The sequence below is a fragment of the Homo sapiens genome, chromosome 1 (assembly GCF_000001405.40).
Source record: "Homo sapiens chromosome 1, GRCh38.p14 Primary Assembly".
Classification (NCBI taxonomy): Eukaryota; Metazoa; Chordata; class Mammalia; order Primates; family Hominidae; genus Homo; species Homo sapiens.
The window spans coordinates 204460281-204479936 of record NC_000001.11 but is presented as its reverse complement, the minus strand read 5'-3'; the positions used below and the strand labels follow the sequence as shown (position 1 = coordinate 204479936).

Below are 19656 nucleotides of genomic sequence, written 5' to 3'. Positions count from 1 at the left end.
CAGAGCCTTGTTGTTATGTTGTTTCCTCACTTTGGTGCCCTGGCTGGATGGGAACAGCTGGGACTTGCTTTATGGACTCTGCTGAACAGGCTGGCATCCTCCAGGGAGTTTTCCCCACCCACACAGGAATGAATCCTGCAGAACTGGATTCCCAAGGGCATGAGCTAAGGAAGCTGAACTGAGGCTGGAGGTGACAGTGGTGACAATCTGGGCCTTGCAGAAGACCTCAGTTTATAGGAAGCAAATGCTGTATCGAGGCAAAGCTGAGGAGGATGGTAGATGGGGGAGGCCAGGCCTAAAGAGAGCTACTGTGTCTTCGTCTCTAACTCCACCCATTTTCTGTGTCCTCTTTCAGAGGACCTTTGTTTATACTTCACAGCATCTACAGTATTTTCAGAGCGTTTAGGGTTTCCTAGGTGTTGCTTTTTGGAAATTCTGTGGTTGTTTTTCTGATACAGGATGGGCTGGTGTGAAAGTTGTGTGTAAAGAAGTTCCCTCGGTGGTCTCCTCAGCTGGAGGCCAAGGTTGGTCAGGGGAGGTCATCCTGGGACCTTCCCTGTCCCCCTACCTTTCTCTGGAAGGCCAAGAAAGCTGGAGGAGTCCCTCATAACTACCATGCCCTTGGAACCTGGGGTGAACTGGATGAGAAGGATTGGTTCTTGGGTGAGGGAAGAGGGGAGGAGGAAGCAGGAAGTAGGAACCAGACAGAGATGTGGCTGCTCTGGCTCCTGGGATGATTCCTGGGTTAGAAATACACGTACTGCCAAAGCTTTTCTTCCTTCTTTGCCAAATGTTCCATTCAGTTGATTGCCAGCTTCTGGTTCCTGACCCTGCAATCAAAATTGCCAGCTCTAGAGGAAGGAAAGTTTTTAGAGGAGCCACAAGCTGCCTCACCTCTTCCATCCTGGTCTCCTCATAACACAGAGCCCACAGTCTACAGGGTATGTAGCAGGAGCTATGATCTCCAAGGATTCTATGTGTGTGCATGAGACCAAATGGTTTCTGAGCTAGAATCGGGGTCTCTGAGTTGGAGTCAGCAGTGCATGCAGACCTGACTTTATGTAGCTGTGTCCCACAGGCTCCAAGCTTCTGTCCCTCTGATTGTCTAGGACCCAGAAAGACTTCCACTAAACTCTTGTGTGCACTTTGGCTTCAAATTAATGGAGAGTCCAGGGTATGGTATGCCCAGAGAGTAGAATAATGGAGAGTAAGTCCTGGTAGGAAATGCCAGACCATGTGCGGCTGCTTTAGTTTAGCTATAGAGGTCACTAGAGAGGGGATGTATAAGTGGGAAGAAAACACAAGCTGTTATTTTGTCTTCTCACATTTGGAACTAGATGAGAGGCACCCAGAGGGCACGCACACTAGAGAAGAGAAAGACCTTATGGATGCATGTGATTCTGTAATAGACCTGCCATCAAAAAAGCTTATAGAGCTGTATACAACCTGTGGGTTTTCCATAAGGAAGCAGGGATCAGATGCACATCTGTTGGAGGCTGGGGGAGCCGGCTTGCTTGACCTTAATACACCTCCCTGCTGTAGGAGTCGGATTCCTGGCAGTGTGTTGATGTTCCCTGTTAGAGCCGGGCTGTGGGAGGGGCAGTTGGAGCCAGCGGCATGTGTGTGGAGTGAGATGCGAGGCAGGGTCCCTGGCTGCAAAGGAGGTGGGATTGGGGGTATGGGTGAGTGTGGGTGCTGGGGGATGGACAGAAGTGGAGGTCCTCTCTGAAGAGAAAAACCTGGACACCAAAGGGTTTAAGTCCTAATGGCCTCTGACTCCCTGACCCTGCCTGTCCTTAGGGGAAGTGCTGAGGGTCCCTTCCTGGGGAAGTCCTAGAGCTGAGTCTCTTCCCTTAGTAAAATCTACTGAAAATCAGGATGCCCAAGACTGGGGGCTTGAAACCCTGCATATTCTTCACCGCCTTGCTTGAGAGCTTTCCATTTTCCCTGCCCACTGAAGATGGTCCAAGACATGCAGTACCTTCTTGCTTCCTGCTTTACACCCCAAGAGGGGATTGAATTCTTTATGTATGTGTCTGCCACCTTTGCTAGATTGTAAGCTCCCTGGAATTGTGCCATAGTCATCTGAATACTTGTAGTCTTTAGATATGTATGTGCCTGGCCTGGCATGTAGCTGGTACTCAACACCCTTTGGGATCCAATCTGTGGCTCAGGGTATGGGGAAGAGATGACCCAGACCCCTCTAGATTCTCCCAGTCCCAAGGAGAACAATTCTGTTAGGGTGCCTTCCAGCAAGACAGCAGGAACCCTCACCACCCACTGGCTCCAGTGGTGGCCCCTGGGCTCCTCCCTCTCTGGCACAGGGACTAAACAGAGCCAGCTCCACTGGAGGGAGTGCCCTCTCCTTTCTTTCCATCCTTTGACTCTGAACCATTGTGTCACTCTGTCCTGACCCCATTTCCTCCCCGGCTAGCCCTCAGCCATCTGTGGGCAGCTGTGAGACTGAGTTTGGTGCCTGGTGCAGCTCAGACCCTGGCACCGACCTGCTTGGCCATAGGCATGTCCTCTTGTTTCTTCAGCTGACTGGTGCTTTTTGGGGTGCCTCTACCCAGGTCTTCTTGTCTTCCTGAGAGTTCTGAAACCCTCTTCTGTGGGGTCAAACCTGGCTGCACATTTGAATCACTTTAGGGGCTACTGAAGCATCCAGCATCCAGGGACTCACCCTACTGAGTCAGAACTTCCAGAGGAGAGGTCGGGAATGTGTATATTTTTAAAGCTTCGCAGATGACAATTGCGGTCACTCAAATGTGGAGTGTGCATTAGATAATATTATTGTTGTCAATGTTAAGTTTTGTGGGTGTGCTCATGGCATTGTGTTTTACATAGGAGAATGCCCTTGCTCTTAGAGATTCAGGCTGAAGTTTTTAGAGGCAAAGTGTTTCTTACAAACACTTTGCAAAGGGCATCTTACTTTTAAATGGTAAAGCAGAGCAAGAAAGAGAGCAAATGTGGAGAAATGTTAACAATTATTGCAGGCAGGTGGTGAAAGAAAACTGGCTGTAACAGACCTTCTGGACGATTTCCATCTGTTTTCTAAGAGGTGGACATTAGGAGAGAACGCAGCCTGAACCACCAAGGTGTATAACTCCAGGAGGCACCATTCACATGGTTTTCATTTTTGTGGTCGGGGGTATCATTCACATAGAATACAATGTGTGGGGTGCCCCCTAGAGTTGTGTGACATAGTGGCATTGGCCCCAGCCATCTCTCCCTGGATGGGCTGCAGAGTAGCAGAGACGCAGGCCCTGATCTACCCTTCCTCTTTCAAGGGACCGACATGGCTATTTGTTTTTATACAGAATCCCTAGTAGCCCTTGAAGACTAAGGGAATGGAGCAATCTTAATTTAAATTTTAATTTAATTTAATTTAATTTGAGACAGGGTCTCTGTCACTCAGACTGGAGTGCAATGGCACGATCACGGCTCACTGTAGCCTCAAACTCCCAGGTCCAAACGATCCATCCACTTAACCCTTCCCAGTAGCTGGGACTATAGGTCCATGCCACCACACCCAGCTAATTTTTTTTCCCCCCATAGGGATGGTCTTGAACCCTGGGCTCAAGCAATCCCCCCGCCTCGGCTTCCCAAAGTCCTTGGGATTACAGACATGAGCCACCACGCCTGGCCCTAGAGCAATTTCTAATGTAGAGCCTGACAGAGAGAGAACTGAATTGGGGAAGTGGGGAGGCAGGAAACATGAAACCCTGATTCCTAAAATACTTTCTGCGTGTCCTCTAGTCCTGGAAAATGAAATCTAGGGCTTGAATTTTTAGAGGAAGCCAGGTCGCTGTGTTTCAAGGTCGCTGGGACTGGTTGCTCCTGTGTTTCCATCTCTGGAGTTCCCTCGTGTCTGGCTGCTGCTCTCTGAACCTTCGCTTCACCTTGGGGGTGGCCTTCTTGGTCCTGTGGGGGATGCTGTTTGTCCCATTTCCTCACTGCCACCTCTCAGCATCATAGTGAGCTGAGTGCTGAGCCTTTGGGAGGAGCATTGCCAGTGTGGCCCTGGGCATGAGATCTGTCAGAGGGGTGGGCTTCCTTCCCTGTGTGGCTGAGACAGTCTAGTGGTGGCCTGGCCCAGAGCCAGGAGGATGGTGGTTAGAGAGGGGTAGCTCGCCTTTCCTCTGTCTGAATTCCAGTCTGGGAAGAGCTTCAGGAACAGTGCCTGCTTGGATCACCCTGGGACCTTTCCTTCTCTTTCCTGTGACTTTGGAGTCCTCTGAGAGATTTGACCTAAGGAATCAGTAGGTTGGAATCAAGGAATCCCAGAGCTGGAAGGGACTGTGTGTGGTTTTCTTGCCATCCTTGCCCCTGCCTTACAGATGCCAATCCAACCTGGTTAGTTCCAAAACCCAGTCCTGTGTCTGAAGGATACTAAGGAGCACACCACCTACATCCTGACCACCCATCTCCATGTCTGAAAATTCCCCACCTCCCAGAAGGTTCTGCCCTGACATTCCAGTTCAAGCTCAGTGGAAATGATGGGAATTTGGAACTTGAGGAACATAGTAGGGGTGATGGATCCATAAACATGTCAATTTTGAATAAAATATCTTAAGCCTGTGTTTGAGATATACACTGGTTGCTATTGGGAGCCAATAGCAAATAGCAAATTGGAACAATTTGAACCAAGTCACGGAGGTATCACATACGTGGTCATGAATGGTTGGAGGTGAGAGGGAGAGCAGGGCAGGAGAGAGTCTTATAGAGAAATCAGAGAGCCTTTGAAATATCTTAGGCAGGAAGCGAGGTGATCAGATTTACATTTTAGGAAGAGCCCTCAGGATGTTCTGTGAAAAAGCCTTGAAGAGGCCAAGGTTAGTAGGGGGAAGGACTATTAGGAGGCCATTGTAATAGCCCAAATGAGAGAAGATAAGGGCTTGAATTAGGGCAACCACAGTTAGGATAGAAGGAAAGATTAGCTTTGGGAAGTATTAAGGAGGAAAAGGTGGCAGGCCTTGGCAATTAGAGAGAGGGGTGAAAGGAAGGGGGACTCTAGGATGACTGCAGGATTTTTAGCTTGGGGGACTGGGTGGTGCCATTCACCACAATGGGGAACCAGGAGCAAGGAGCAGATTGTGGGGAGGAAAGAAGATGATAGTTGAGTTTTGGACATTTGGATTTTGAGATATGAGTGGGCATGTAAACTTGAAGGAGAGATACATATTTGGAATCATCAACATGTGAGTAGTATGGATAGGAAACAAGAATAGATGAGATTGCCCAAGCAGAGGGGGTAGAGTTAACAGTAAGCTGAGAATAGAATCCTGAGCCAACACCAACATTTCAGGGGTGGACAAAGGAAGAGGAAGACAAAGAAGGAGGAGATGGAGAACAAGAAAAAAATATCTTCATGAAAGCCAGCGGGAGAGGGTTTAAGGAAGAAGGGAATGGTTTGGAGAGCCAAATACAGCAGCAATGTCCAGGCAGGTGGAAATGGCTACGGAAATGGGCAGCCCAGGCATTGTTGCTGGAGCAGTTTTAGTGGGATGTGGGGGGCAGACACCAGATTACAATGAGTTAAAGAGTAAATGGGAAGGGAGAATTTGGAAACATCAGGTGTAGTCCATTCTCTGGAAGCTTGGCTGAGAATGGAAGGATGAACAGAGAGGACAAAAAGTCAAGGGGAGCCGGGCACGGTGGCTCACGCCTGTAATCCCAGCACTTTGGGGGGCCGAGGCGGGCGGATCACCTGAGGTCGGGAGTTCGCGACTAGCCTGACCAACATGATGAAACTCTGTCTCTACTAAAAATACAAAATTAGCTGCGCGTGGTGGCGCATGCCTGCAATCCCAACTACTCGGGAGGCTGAGGCAGGAGAATCGCTTGAACCCGGGAGGCGGAGCTTGCGGTGAGCCGAGATCGCGCCATTGCACTCCAGCTTGGGCAGCAAGAGCGAAACTCCATCTCAAAAAAAAAAAAAAAAAAAGTCAAGGGGAGGTGTTTAGGGTTCGGAGTTTTTCCTTTCTTGTTAAGATTAGGTGAAGCATGTTTATGTGCTGAAGAGAAAAACCATGTTAAGGAGAAGAGATTGAAGATACAGGAGAGGGAAGGGAAATCCATGGAGCATTATCCTAGAGATGAAGTGGATGGGGCAAGAGCAGAAGAGGATTGTGCCTCAGCAGGAGGCAGGAATCTGCTTCCCCTGGGCCAAAAGGAAGAAAGTGAAGCTGAGTGCAAGTATGCATAAGTGGGTGTTGGAAGAGAGGCTTGAAGTTGAAAAAGATTATTTCCAATGGCCTGAATTTTCCTTCTCACAATAGTGCCTGCTAAGGCAAATCTTAATACTCTGCTTGTCCTAGCTCAGCGCTGAAAATACACAGTCATTCTCTGGATTAACATACTTAAGCCCAATCCAACTTTGAGCATTTATCTGGTATCTCCTATCTATAAGGCACTAGGCCCTCCTTTTCCTGGGACTAGTCTCCCAGCTCCAGGCAGCTAGGTTCTGGATATCTCCATCTGCTTATGCTACTCCTTTGAATTTCAAATAGCAAGACTCCCTCATACCCACTGTGGATAAAAAGTGATCTGTAAGGAGCTGTGGAAAGGCAGAGAAATTAAGTTAACAGTGAACTGCTTTAGATACTCTGAGGCTGGGCTTGGGCCGGTCTGTCCTTGGTGAACTAATTCCTAAGTGCAATAGTTGTCAGATTCACTGAGCCAGAACCCTTCAGACCAGGGTCCTGTGCCTATACCTGACAGATGTACCAGGGTCCTGGGAGGGCACCCCAGGGTAAGGGATACCTTTGTCCTAACTTATTTTGAATCTAAGCAACTTGCCACCCAAGAGTCTATCTGAGCCTTTTTCCTATTGATGTTTTCAACATTCTAATCATGAGGTGTAATTTCATGTTTGTTACCTGTTGGGTGAAGCAGTACAATAGAATGAACATTTTCTGATAATTTTTATGAAACTGTCAACCTCTTGGCTGCTGATGCTAAGAGTCAGAAGTGACTACTTCACACTGGTCTCCCCCAACCTAATCACAAACACACATTCATAGATCCACAGTTCTGAGGTTGGGCTACACATTAGAATCTCCTGGGGAGTTTTTAAAAAATACCATTACCCTACCACAGAGCAATTAAATCAGAATCTCTTGAGAGTATTCAGGCTTCAGTACTTTGTTTTTTTTAGACAGAGTTTTGGTCTTGTTGCCCAAGCTGGAGTGAAATGATGCACTCTCAGCTCACTGCAACCTCCGCCTCCCGGGTTCAAGTGATTCTCCTGCCTCAGCCTCCTGAGTAGCTGGGATTATAGACGTGTGCCACCACGCCTGGCTAATTTTTTGTATTTTTAGTAGAAACGAGGTTTCACCATGTTAGCCAGGCTGGTCTCGAACTCCTGACCTCAGGTGATCCGTCCACCTCAGCCTCCCAAAGTGCTGGGATTATAGGCGTGAGCCACCGTATCCGGCCGGGCTTCGGTACTTTTTAAAACTTCCCCCAGTCGGGCCGGGTGCGGTGGCTCACGCCTGTAATCCCAGAACTTTGGGAGGCCGAGCTGGGTGGATCACGAGGTCAGGAGATCAAGACCATCCTGGCTAACACGGTGAAACCCCATCTCTACTAAAAATACAACAAATTAGCCGGGTGTGGTGGCGGGTGCCTGTAGTCCCAGCTACTCGGGAGGCTGAGGCAGGAGAATGGCATGAACCTGGGAGGTGGAGCTTGCAGTGAGCCGAGATCCTGCCACTGCACTCCAGCCTGGGCGACAGAGTGAGACTCCGTCTCAAAAAAAAAAAAAAAGTTCCCCCAGTGTTGCTAATGTTGCAGCTGGGGTTGAGAACCACTGGGCCAGACTGACCTTGTCGTTACCACCATTTGTTGAATGCTTCTCAACTCTGTTCACGTCATGGCTTCTAGAGAAAAGGATACCACCGCTGAAGTAAGTGGAAGCACTGGCCTGGAGATCCAGTGTGGCTTCCTGAGGGCTGGGGGAAAAAAAAAAATCAATATTTTGGCACACCTGTAAGACATCAGGTAGCCGGGTCTCACCTGTTGGCAAGCTTTGTTTTATTTTATATATTGGTGTATTTTGGGAGGATCCTAGTGCAAGCTGAGTAATTACAAGGTCCGTTTCACAGGGTTCTCTTGTACTTTTCATTTATAGTTTTATTGAGGTGTAATTGACATATAATAAAATATACAGATTGAAAGTGTGTAATTTGATAAGTTTTGACATGTGAGAATACCAGTGAAGCCATCATGTGAGAATACCAGTGAAGCCATCATGTGAGAATACCAGTGAAGCCATCATGTGAGAATACCAGTGAAGCCATCATGTGAGAATACCAGTGAAGCCATCATGTGAGAATACCAGTGAAGCCATCATGTGAGAATACCAGTGAAGCCATCATGTGAGAATACCAGTGAAGCCATCATGTGAGAATACCAGTGAAGCCATCATGTGAGAATACCAGTGAAGCCATCATGTGAGAATACCAGTGAAGCCATCATGTGAGAATACCAGTGAAGCCATCATGTGAGAATACCAGTGAAGCCATCATGTGAGAATACCAGTGAAGCCATCATGTGAGAATACCAGTGAAGCCATCATGTGAGAATACCAGTGAAGCCATCATGTGAGAATACCAGTGAAGCCATCATGTGAGAATACCAGTGAAGCCATCATGTGAGAATACCAGTGAAGCCATCATGTGAGAATACCAGTGAAGCCATCATGTGAGAATACCAGTGAAGCCATCATGTGAGAATACCAGTGAAGCCATCATGTGAGAATACCAGTGAAGCCATCATGTGAGAATACCAGTGAAGCCATCATGTGAGAATACCAGTGAAGCCATCATGTGAGAATACCAATGAAGCCATCATGTGAGAATACCAGTGAAGCCATGACCACAATCGAGATAATGAACATATTCATCACCTCCAAAGGTTCCCTTGTGTCCCGTTGTAATCCACCCCTCTTTCCACTCTGTCCCCCAGATACCGCTGATCTGCTTTCTGTCATTATAGATCAGTTTGCATTTTCCAGAATTTTATATAAATGGAATCATATGTACTCATACTGTTTTGTCTGGCATCTTTTACTCAGCAAAGCTATTTTAAGATTAGCCTTGTTATTGCATTTGTCAATAATTCATTCCTTTTTATTGCCAAGTAGTATTCAATTGTATAGACATCACATTTTTAAAAATCCATTCACTGTTGATGGACATTTTGGGATATTACAAATAAAGCTGCTGTGGATATTCATGAACAAGTCTTTGTGTAGACATATGCTTTTATTTTCCTTGGATAAGTAGGAGTGATAGTTGAATCCTGTGTTAGGTGTATGTTGACCTTTTTAAGAACCTGCCTGTTTTCCAAAGTGGTTGTACCATTTTACATTCCCCACCAGTAGTGTATGAGAGCTGTCCTCTTCAAATTGACTGGAGAAGCTTTGCTTCCATCTCTTCTTCTTGGCTAATAGAAGGTGCCTCTTGGCTGGGCGTGGTAGCTCACGCCTGTAATCCCAACACTTTGGGAGGCCTAGGCGGGTGGATCACCTGAGGTCAAGAGTTCGAAACCAGCCTGGCCAACATGACAAAACCCTGTCTCTACTAAAAATACAAAAATTAGCCGGGCGCAGTGGTGGGCGCCTGTAATCCCAGCTACTAGGGAGGCTGAGGCAGGAGAATCACTTGAACCTGGGAGGTGGAGGTTGCAGTGAGCCGAGATCGCACCATTGCATTCCAGCCTGGGTGACACAGCGAGACTCCATCTCAAAAAAAAAAAAAAAAAGGTGCCTCTCTCTCTTTTTGGGGCACAAATGACAGAGGTGAGTATAGGGATTAGGGCGCAGAGATGAGGCATGTAGAGATGAATGGATGGATAGTTGGATATAATAAATAGGTAAAGTTGTCTTGGTATCCCTTTTTTCCTCCATCTTCCTGTACATTCCATTAGTTGTACACAACGAAGAAGCAGGCACTGGCCCAGATAATATCACCTAAATTGGATTATTATGGATGATTAGTAAATCTCTCTTTGTGACTGATTGATATTTTTACCCCTCACCTGCAGGCGCCCAGACACCATGTCACAACCCTCCAGAACTGACGTTGGCAGGAAGTAGAGACTTTGTTGCCTGTGTCCCCCATCCTCACCATGTCTTCGACTCAGGGCAATGGGGAACACTGGAAGTCCCTGGAGTCAGTGGGCATCAGCCGCAAAGAGCTAGCGATGGCCGAAGCCCTGCAGATGGAGTATGATGCCCTGTCCCGGCTCCGGCATGACAAGGAGGAGAACAGAGCCAAGCAGAACGCAGACCCCTCTCTCATCAGCTGGGATGAGCCTGGGGTAGACTTTTACAGCAAGCCAGCAGGAAGGCGGACCGACCTCAAGCTGTTACGCGGTCTCTCTGGCTCTGATCCTACCCTTAACTACAACTCACTCTCCCCACAGGAAGGGCCGCCCAACCACTCTACCTCCCAAGGGCCACAGCCTGGCTCAGATCCCTGGCCCAAAGGCTCCCTGTCTGGAGACTATCTCTACATTTTTGATGGTTCAGATGGGGGAGTCTCTTCGTCCCCAGGACCAGGGGACATAGAGGGCTCTTGCAAGAAACTATCCCCACCTCCTCTGCCTCCCCGAGCTTCTATCTGGGATACCCCTCCCCTGCCTCCCAGAAAGGGGTCCCCCTCATCCTCCAAGATCTCCCAGCCCAGTGACATCAACACTTTCTCTTTGGTCGAACAATTGCCGGGCAAACTGCTAGAGCATCGGATCCTAGAAGAGGAAGAGGTGCTGGGAGGTGGGGGTCAGGGGCGCCTACTGGGGTCTGTGGACTATGATGGTATCAATGATGCAATTACTAGGCTCAACTTGAAATCGACCTATGATGCGGAGATGTTGCGGGATGCCACCAGGGGCTGGAAGGAGGGCCGAGGGCCGCTGGACTTCAGCAAAGACACCTCTGGAAAACCCGTGGCCAGGAGCAAGACTATGCCCCCTCAGGTGCCCCCCCGCACCTATGCCTCCCGCTATGGCAACCGAAAGAATGCGACGCCTGGCAAGAACCGCCGGATTTCTGCAGCCCCGGTGAGGACCTTCTTGTGTTTCTTCTGCCTTCCTTTCTCCATGTCCTTCAGAAACAGGGACTAGTCTCTGCTGTTCTACATCCAACTCTGCCAAGTCCTTACCCCTTTAGGCCTCTCCTACCCTCTTTGGGACCCTGGCCCTGGTGGGGGAGGTCCAGGGGAGGCTTGATTAGGGGTGGACACCAGTAGAGGGAGGGCTCCTTCTCAGGGCCAGGTTTCATGTATCTTGGCCAAAACGGGCCTTCTGGGGCAGGCATTTGGGAATCCTGGTTCCTAGCGTGTGCCTGCTTCCTGATGTAAGGACTGAATTGGGAGTTATGGGATTCATTATTGACTGGCTGAATGGCCCTCTGGACCGGAGCAAGTTGCTTCCGCTTGCTCTGAGGCCCTGCTCTGCCAAAAACGCTGCGTGGCGATGAAGATCATTCACAATAGTAACCACTTGTTTAGTGCCCACTGAATGCCAGACCCTGGTCCAGATCTCCACAACAACCCTTCCTGATAGTCCAAAGCCACACAGCAAGCAATAGCAGGGCCAGCATTCAGCCCTGGCCTCTCTCGTTCCTAAGCCTTCTGTCTCCTCCTCTCCTTCTCCCTTTCTCTCTCTCTCTCTCCCTGCTCTGTTCTTTATTGTGATAAAATATACGTAACGTAAAATTCGCCACCGTAACCATTTGGAAGTGTGCAGTCAGTGGCACTGACGACATTCACATTGTCGTGCAACCCTTGCATTATTCATCTCTACTCATTCTCTTCTCACAATGAAAATATTTAGAAAAAATATGCAGTATGACAAATAGTTTTATTTTTATCAGTACATAGTGTAAAATAGCGAACTATCTAGGTCAAAGCCCCCAGGCAGGTGCCAGGGCAGCTCTGATCTTTTTTCTGGTTTAGGGGAGCTTCAGCAGCATCTCCTGGGTAGGACCAGAAGGCCTATTTGTGTTTCATCCTTGGTCCCTGGAAACCCTGGCTGCAAGGAGTCAAGAGACAAGTGACACCCCCATGGCTGATGCCTTCTTTTTTTTTTTTTTTTTGAGACAGAGTCTCACTCTGTCACCAGGCTTTAGTGCAGTGGCGCTATCTTGGCTCACTGCAGCCTCTGCCTCCCGGGTTCAAGAGATTCTCCTGCCTCAGCCTCCCAAGTAGCTGGGATTACAGGCACCTGCCACCATGCCCAGCTAATTTTTGTATTTTTAGTAGAGACGGGGTTTCACCACATTGGCCAGGCTGGTCTTGAACTCCTGACCTCAGGTGATCTGTCCACTTTGGCCTCCCAAAGTTCTGGGATTACAGGTGTAAGCCAATGCCCCTGGCTGCTGATGCCTTCTGTGACAGCTTAGCATTCTACTTCATTCTGTCCTGGTTTCCTCCTTAGCCATTGTTTAAGGGGCACTGGGGTTTTCCCACCTTGTGTCTAGCCTTTGGGAACCTTCCCAACTCTGAAGAGCTACACAGTTCTTCCTTCCTCCGCTTCTCCTAAGAGAGTCCCCCCAAAAGCAGAATCAGCTCCTGGGATAAGCCACATCCCTAGAGCTCAGGGATTTTTAAAGGCCCTGCTCTGAGAGGTGGGGCTGTTCCCGCTATTTATAGGGACTGGGAGATTCCTGTTCCCAGCTCTGAGTTCCTCACACCCAGCTGGGCCTGCTCACTGAGTCAGGGCACCCTGGTAGGTGGTCACCTCTGTCACTCCTTCTCTCTCCTGCCTCCCCTACTCCCTCACCCTTCCCCATCCCCTGCATGTCATCAGAGTTCTGAGACAGAGCTCAGCCCAGAATCTCCTTGAAGAAGCGGACACAAAGCAAAAAGCTCTTGCCAGTTCTGAGTGGGGAAATGCGGCCTTGGTCCTCCCCGGCTCAGCTTGTTGCAGGGGCTCAGCCTGCTGGGAGGGGGGACCCCTTGGGCCCTCGGCCTATACCACCGCCCCGCTTTCGTCGGGCTTCCAGCCAGAGGGAACCTCCTTATCCCAGGCCAGCGGAGCCAGCTCTGGAACTGGCTGGCTCCAAATGCCAGCCTGATACCCCTGCTGCCAGCCTCTGCCCGGCAGACTCCCCCAGCCAGCATCGGGTGATGCCACCAGGGCCTGCCAGCTGGGCAAACGTAAGTGGCTTTTGTTTTCTTATGGTGCCAGTGAGTGGTACAGAAAGGACATGAGAGTGGCCTTCAGTGACCACTCTGTTCTCTCCCTCTCTTGCCTTCTCTTCCCTCCCCCCACTGTCTCTCTCTCTTTCTCTTTTTCTTCCTCTCTCTCTCCTTTCTCTTGTGGGTTAATTGCTGACAGTGGTGCTATTGTTTTGACTGGGACACAGGCACGAACTTGGCAGAGCCAGGGCCTCACATGCCAACTGTCCCCACTGCTGCCCTCCCCTCTGTGCACCCCCACCCCCCGCCGCCCATGCACACCCAGGGGAGCAAGCCTAACAAGAGAGGGTCAACCAGAGGAAACAGTCTGGATATTCAAATGAGGAGCTCAGTTGCTGTCATCTGCCCCAAGAGGCAGAGAGGACTTGAGAGTAGCCAAGAGGTTGGGTGAGAGATGTGAGGCGTTGCTATGTGCACAGGCCGGAGCTAGACTCCCGCCAGAAACAGCTGTTGGAACCACATGCCGGCCTTATCTCCATCTGAGCTGAAGCCTCGTCCCTGGTGTGGCCTCCCAGGCTGCCCTGAGCAGACCCCTCAGGCAGAAACCTGTCATGCACCAGCTCTCCCTCCCCCTCACTTCCTTCTCCCTAGGGCTGGGCTACAGGCCTTGCTAGGGGCTTCTTTAGGAACCCTCCTGGGTGACTGAAAGCAGCTCTGGGATGGGAGACCGTTTGGGACCTTGTCTGAGAATCCTACCACCACACACGTATTTTGAGAGAGGAAGTGGGGCCAAGGCAGGCTCCCTGACATTCCGGCCGTTCAGAGCCGGCTGACTCGGAAGCCAGAGGAGCCAAGCTTCTACCAGGTCCTCCCCTGCCCAGACCACTGCTTTGACGCTTTCTTCCTCAAATAGCATTTACCCAGAAGGCACATGTGTCTGAGTCATCTCCTCTATCTAAGGGTTCTGGGTCTCTCTCTGCTTTGGGTCCATGGGGCTTGTGGATATTGAGGCTTTAGACCAGGGCCAAGCTTCCCTGGGCACCATTTGGGCCGCCCACCTGCTCTAGCCTCAGTAGAGGGGCTGGGAAAAACAGCTGTCTGCTCTGCTCCCTGTCACGCCTCTGGGAGAATCCCCCGGAAAGCCCGTGTTGCAGGAGAGGCCCAACAGCACTGGATTGCCTTACTGGCTGCCTCACGCTTATCAGACTGTCCCCTCCTGAAGTGGCTTTGGCCACACTCTTGTCCATCTCAGCCAGAGCTTCGCCTCCTTCTTCAACTTGGCTCCTGGTCTCCTAGGACAGCAGATACATGTATTCCCGGATGTCCCATATGTTCTTGTGCCCCTTTCATTGGATGTCGAGTGACTAGAAAGTCTTTTCATCTAGAGTTTGAGTTTAGGTCTGGAGTACCTCATAGGGAGGGGACACCACGAGGAAAAAGGCACTGAGTCGTCTGCTCTTCTCTTAAAGGTGGGCTCCCGGCCCCACACTGTTGCCAATGGCCATGAGTTGTTTGAGGTCTCAGAAGAGAGAGATGAGGAGGTTGCTGCATTTTGCCACATGCTGGATATGTAAGAGTTAAAGAATGGGGTGGGATTTGGGAGGGCTATGGGGGATGGGGAGGGGGGCCATCCATTTCCAAACTTTCTTTAGGAGGGAAGAAGCACCATAATAAGTAAATCTCAGTTCATAGCTATGAAAATGCTTCCTACAACAAGTGTCTGCAGGGTTTTTGAAATCTTAGAAGTCTCACATTTTTAGCAAAATTCATGAAACCTCCATTGAATGGTCAAAGTATCCTGATCACTCTAGAGTCTGACCCTCAGTTGCCCTTAAGAGCAAATGCACCCCAGCTGGCGATAAGAGTGTTATCTGGAACTAAAAGAGAAAGGAAATGGATTCATAAAAAATTTTCCATTAAACTTAGCATGGAAAGCTTTGTCATTTTAGAACTATTTGTACTGTTCAATGGTGGGAAACATTTTGCAATTATAAGAGAAGTGTCAAGAAGGGGGTTTCTCAGAGCTGCTACCCCACTGCCCCCATCCTGGCCTGCAAATTTGGAGGGCTGGGCTGAGTGGGGACAGAGGGGCTCTTGAGCCTCAGAGCATGAGGTTCCCAACAGATGTCTTCTTGACTACTCTCTTCTAAAGGCACAGTGAGGGTTTTTTTTCTTCCTGTACAGCCTTCGATCTGGCTCTGACATCCAAGACTACTTCCTCACTGGCTATGTCTGGAGTGCTGTCACCCCTAGCCCAGAGCACCTCGGGGATGAGGTCAACCTGAAGGTGACTGTGTTGTGTGACAGGCTTCAAGAGGCACTCACTTTCACCTGCAACTGTAAGTTAGTGAGGGGGGAGAGGATGTGAGCATCCCTTGAAGTGGGGTGGGGATGACTGTGTTTTGACTCGATTTCCACCTCATCTTGTGGCCCAGATGAAGGGCAGTGAGGATGCTCCTTTGGGGGTGAGGGGCTGGCTATGGGGCCAGCATTCTAGTACAGTCACTTTCCTCAACTCTGAACTACTTGCCTGCTTTATCTGGTTGGTGATGGTGCTGGAGAATACTTAGCTGGAAAGGGGGATCAGGGTGGGGAAACTGAGACCCATCTGCCTTGACATCCATCATGATTGCTCCCCCTACCTTACCCTTCACAGGTTCCTCCACTGTAGACTTGCTTATCTACCAGACCCTGTGCTACACCCATGATGACCTGAGGAATGTGGACGTGGGTGACTTTGTGCTAAAGCCCTGCGGGCTGGAGGAGTTCCTGCAGAAGTGAGTGAATGGGTGGGAGGTAGCCCCTGCCTTCCTGGTAGTAAGATTGTGAGGGGGCTTCATGGGATTGGTGCTGGGACCGGCCTGGCAGCTCCGCCCCAATCCCACAGTCAAGACTCCTGCTTTCTGGGCACACTCTCGGCCACGTAGCACTTTCCCCAGGAGCTCTGTCTTCCAGCAGGGTTGGCTGACGTCCTGAGCCAAGTCTGCTGTGGAAAGAGCTTGGAGCTGGGATTAGGCAAAGACTAGGTCATATCTGCTTGCAGATTCTGCTTATGGAGAGATGTGTGTATTTGTGGGGAGGGGTGGGCTTGGGGAGACTATATGGGTAGTGCTGTATCTCCTGCTCTAGATTATGTGTGGTGTTTTTATGGCTGGGGCAAAATGAGGACTGGGCAGAAGTTCCCTTGTGGAGCCCAGGGGAGAAATTACAATTACTGTCTCTCCCCATTCTCCTGCCAACAAGTCTTTTCCCCAGCTGGCCCGTGCAGCTAGTTATCCTCCTCCCAAAGGCGTGCCTCCAGCTCCTCTCCATCCAGTGCCCTCTCTGGAAAGCAGCCTCCCTGGAAAGTCTGATGTGGACCAGCTGAGGCAACCCCCTTTCCACTACCCTGGGCTCTGGAGGGCTGCAGTGGAAGAGAGGCAGGGGCAAGGTTATCACTTCTCAGATGGTACAGCTGTGTGACAGCAGACAGATAAGATCTGCTTTCCTCTCTTAGGCTTCAGAGCCGCTCCTGCCCCCAGTCTCTGTCCACTTGGAGGAAGCACGTTTTGGGAATAGAGAAAGGAGAGACCTGTGTCTCACTTCTTAGGAGTGCCCTATAAGTGCCACTGCTTGCTTTTTCTCTCTCTTACATTCAGGTCTAGATGCAAGGATGGTTGATCTATGTCTAGAGCATAAGATTTGGCAGTCAGGATGGAAGATTCATTTCTGGACTTCTTTCTTTTTTTGAGACAGAGTCTCACTCTGTCGTGCAGGCTGGAGTGCTGTGGCGCCATCTCACTCAGCTCACTGCAACCTCCGTCTCCCAGGCTCAAGCGATTCTCATGCCTCAGCCTCCTGAGTAGCTGGGATTACAGGCATAAGCACCACCACGCCCGGCTAATTTTTGTATTTTTTAATAGAGACTGGGTTTCACCATGTTGGCCAGGCTGGTCTCGAACTCCTGACCTCGGGTGATCTGCCCGCCTTGGCCTCCCAAAGTGCTGGGATTACAGGTGTGAGCCACTGTGCCCAGCTATCTGGGCTTATTTCAAATTTAAGGATATTGTGGGGTCCTTTCTGGCCTCTGCCTCCTCATCTCGAAGCTAAGGGAAAGGAAAGAGGCAGGGTTCTGTATGGTACAACTCCAGGGTACCCTTCAAATGTGCCCCACCTTTAAACTCACTTATGTACACACTTTTCCCCTAGAGGAACAGGAGGGGTCCTAGACTCAGGGTTGCCTGGCAGAGAGAGTGCCAGGTGGCCTGCCACTGTTAGAAGGGAAAAAGGGGACATAGTGGATAAGTTGGAGCTCCTGCTGACGCCATTACACAGGTTTGAATTCGGACTTGCCACTTACTAGTTGTGAAGGCTGATTGATGCTCAGGGCCCTCTGTAAGCTGCAGTGAGGGTGAAATGTGAGAATGACCTGTGAGCAATCAGTAAATACCAGCAGGGAAGGAGCAGCCCACGGAGAGAAGTCCTAGGGCTCTGGGCTGCACAGATACTGCCATTTCCCTTGCAGCACCCCAAATCCTGGAGCCCCTGGGTCCGGAGGTAGTGGGAGCTGTCAAGTTCTACCTTCCTGCTAAGACTCAGGTGAAATATTCTTAGTGAGGTGGGACAGGGTCAGCGGTCCTCAGATCACACCCCTCATACTCTCACTTGAATGCACAGAGAGGAAGGCCTTCCACAGAGAAGATCAAGCAAGTCCCCAGGGGACCTGTGTGCATGACTCCTGGCCTAGGAGCCCCACTCCCACCCAACAGAAAAGCACAATGCTGTCTCCTGGCCCAGCCCCCAGACCCCCAACACATGACAACTGCCTGGGATGGGGGTGGAAAGGACGCTCCGGGGGTTCCAGAAATCTGCTAGTTCCCAAGGAAGCCCTGAGATTTTCTACCCCTGCCTGGCAGGAGGGGCTGATACTGAGGGGGTGAGTGGGTTCAGGATGCAGGCTGCTCTCAGATAAGAACCTTGAGGCAGTCCCGTGGGAGGGTTGGGTTTCCTGCCACCTCCCCCAGCCCCACCACACTCTTCCTTCCTCCCAGGCTCTCCCACCAGGCCCAGCCCCACAGCCCAGCCTCACCACCTCCAGGTTTTGGCTGCACTTCAGTCTTAGATCTGAGAGGGTCTAGATCGGAGATTTGGTCCTCTCAGGATGTGGAGAACCCCTCACTCGAGCCCTCATGGGACCTAGACGACCCTGGGCCCTGCACCTCCGCCAGCTTTTACATATACTGCCCCCCTTATGCTCCTGTCCTCTCCTCTCCATTTCTGGCCTAGATTCCCAGCTCTGCTGAGGAAGGAAGTCCTTTTCCGGCTTCTGTTACCCAGCTGCTGAGGCCAGGCCCAGGCCTGCAGTGCTGGCCTGGAGGTAGTTCTCCCTCTGCCCCTCCTCTTGGGTTTCCTTGCTGTTGAAGGTGTGATTTGGGAGAGAGGAAGAGGTTGGATCGCCGAGGGCTCCTAGGCCTTCTCTCTGAAAGGGGGAGTCTCACACATGGGTGCTTGAGCAGGTGGGACTGGCATGCATTTGGGACTTTTCAAGAAGTCATAGAAATTTGTAAGGTTATTCACAAGCAGGCAGGGCCAACAGATGGAAGGCAGAAAAAGAAGTTGGGTGGGGACACTGATCTGGAGGCTTGGTAGGCTTGCCCCAAGTTTTTTTGGCCTCAGCACCCTAGTTGGTAGCATTGGAAGAGGGGTCTCTCGCTGAGCTCCCACCCTGGAGCCTGAGCACAGGTGGACTCCAACATGTCTCTTCCTGGTTGTCCCCTATACAGAGGCCCAGAAGATAGGGCTTCAGCAACTGCTCCCTGTGATGTGCCTCTGTTTCCCCGCTCTCTCCAACAGTTCCCAGCCCTGGAGTGAACCAGTGATTACCACACGGGTAATAAATATCTAAGAGAGTCAATATTTATACCGGCCAAGGATTAAGTATATTAGGTGGCTTTTGTTTAGATAGACCTCTGTTCCTTCTCCTAAGCTCTACCGTGTCATTTTCTAGGAGCCAAAGTAGGGTACAACACGGGTACTACCCCCTTACCTAAACCTTCTTTCTGTATGTCTCTCCCCAAGGCTAAGGTATGTATCTCCCTTGCCACTGAGTCCCCAGGATGCTAATGGTCTTGTCCCTCTACCCTACCAGCAAGCATGCCTTGGGCAGTCATGAGTACATCCAATACTGCCGCAAGTTTGACATTGACATTCGGCTACAGCTGATGGAGCAGAAGGTTGTGCGCAGTGACCTGGCCCGGACGGTTCGTGTGAGGGTGGTGGAGGGTTGCCCAGGGCTGGGGAGGTGGAATGGGAATACAATATAGAACACATCAGGTGGGAGGGGGGTAGGAGTGCTGAGCTGAGATAAGGGCACCGCCCCTCTCTGAATAGGTCACTTCTTATACAGGTGAATGATGACCAGAGCCCCTCCACCTTGAACTACCTCGTCCATCTCCAAGAGAGGCCTGTCAAGCAGACCATCAGCAGGTGAGTGTGGGCACCATCTTGGATGTGCTCCAAACAAGAACTG

General features: G+C 50.4%; 1 protein-coding gene across 3 annotated transcripts in view, besides 4 other annotated features; it reads left to right on the top strand.

Annotated features, from left to right (window-relative positions):
* The window catches only part of PIK3C2B (phosphatidylinositol-4-phosphate 3-kinase catalytic subunit type 2 beta), a 72173-nt gene that overhangs the window by 14869 nt on the left and 37648 nt on the right, over window positions 1-19656 (top strand). For all 3 annotated transcript variants that reach the window (NM_001377334.1, NM_001377335.1, NM_002646.4), the window contains 6 exons: window positions 10051-11067; window positions 14618-14718; window positions 15333-15487; window positions 15805-15925; window positions 19276-19387; window positions 19534-19613. In NM_001377334.1, the coding sequence (NP_001364263.1) occupies window positions 10135-11067; window positions 14618-14718; window positions 15333-15487; window positions 15805-15925; window positions 19276-19387; window positions 19534-19613 (1502 nt within the window). In that variant the 5' untranslated portion in view covers window positions 10051-10134. The remainder of the gene's footprint in view (window positions 1-10050; window positions 11068-14617; window positions 14719-15332; window positions 15488-15804; window positions 15926-19275; window positions 19388-19533; window positions 19614-19656) is intronic.
* Window positions 1141-1640: an enhancer, noted in NCBI's record as "H3K4me1 hESC enhancer chr1:204447425-204447924 (GRCh37/hg19 assembly coordinates)". NCBI's record gives its function as "activates a minimal SCP1, AML or CMV promoter by ChIP-STARR-seq in naive H9 embryonic stem cells {active_cell/tissue: H9 hESC(naive)}" and the evidence as "EXISTENCE:reporter gene assay evidence [ECO:0000049][PMID:30033119]".
* Window positions 2482-2776: a silencer, noted in NCBI's record as "tiled region #6329; HepG2 Repressive non-DNase unmatched - State 10:DNaseD". NCBI's record gives its function as "represses a minimal TATA promoter and a strong SV40 promoter by Sharpr-MPRA in HepG2 cells {active_cell/tissue: HepG2}" and the evidence as "EXISTENCE:reporter gene assay evidence [ECO:0000049][PMID:27701403]".
* Window positions 10958-11785: an enhancer, noted in NCBI's record as "H3K27ac hESC enhancer chr1:204437280-204438107 (GRCh37/hg19 assembly coordinates)". NCBI's record gives its function as "activates a minimal SCP1, AML or CMV promoter by ChIP-STARR-seq in naive H9 embryonic stem cells {active_cell/tissue: H9 hESC(naive)}" and the evidence as "EXISTENCE:reporter gene assay evidence [ECO:0000049][PMID:30033119]".
* Window positions 17442-17736: a silencer, noted in NCBI's record as "tiled region #12859; HepG2 Repressive non-DNase unmatched - State 16:ElonW". NCBI's record gives its function as "represses a minimal TATA promoter and a strong SV40 promoter by Sharpr-MPRA in HepG2 cells {active_cell/tissue: HepG2}" and the evidence as "EXISTENCE:reporter gene assay evidence [ECO:0000049][PMID:27701403]".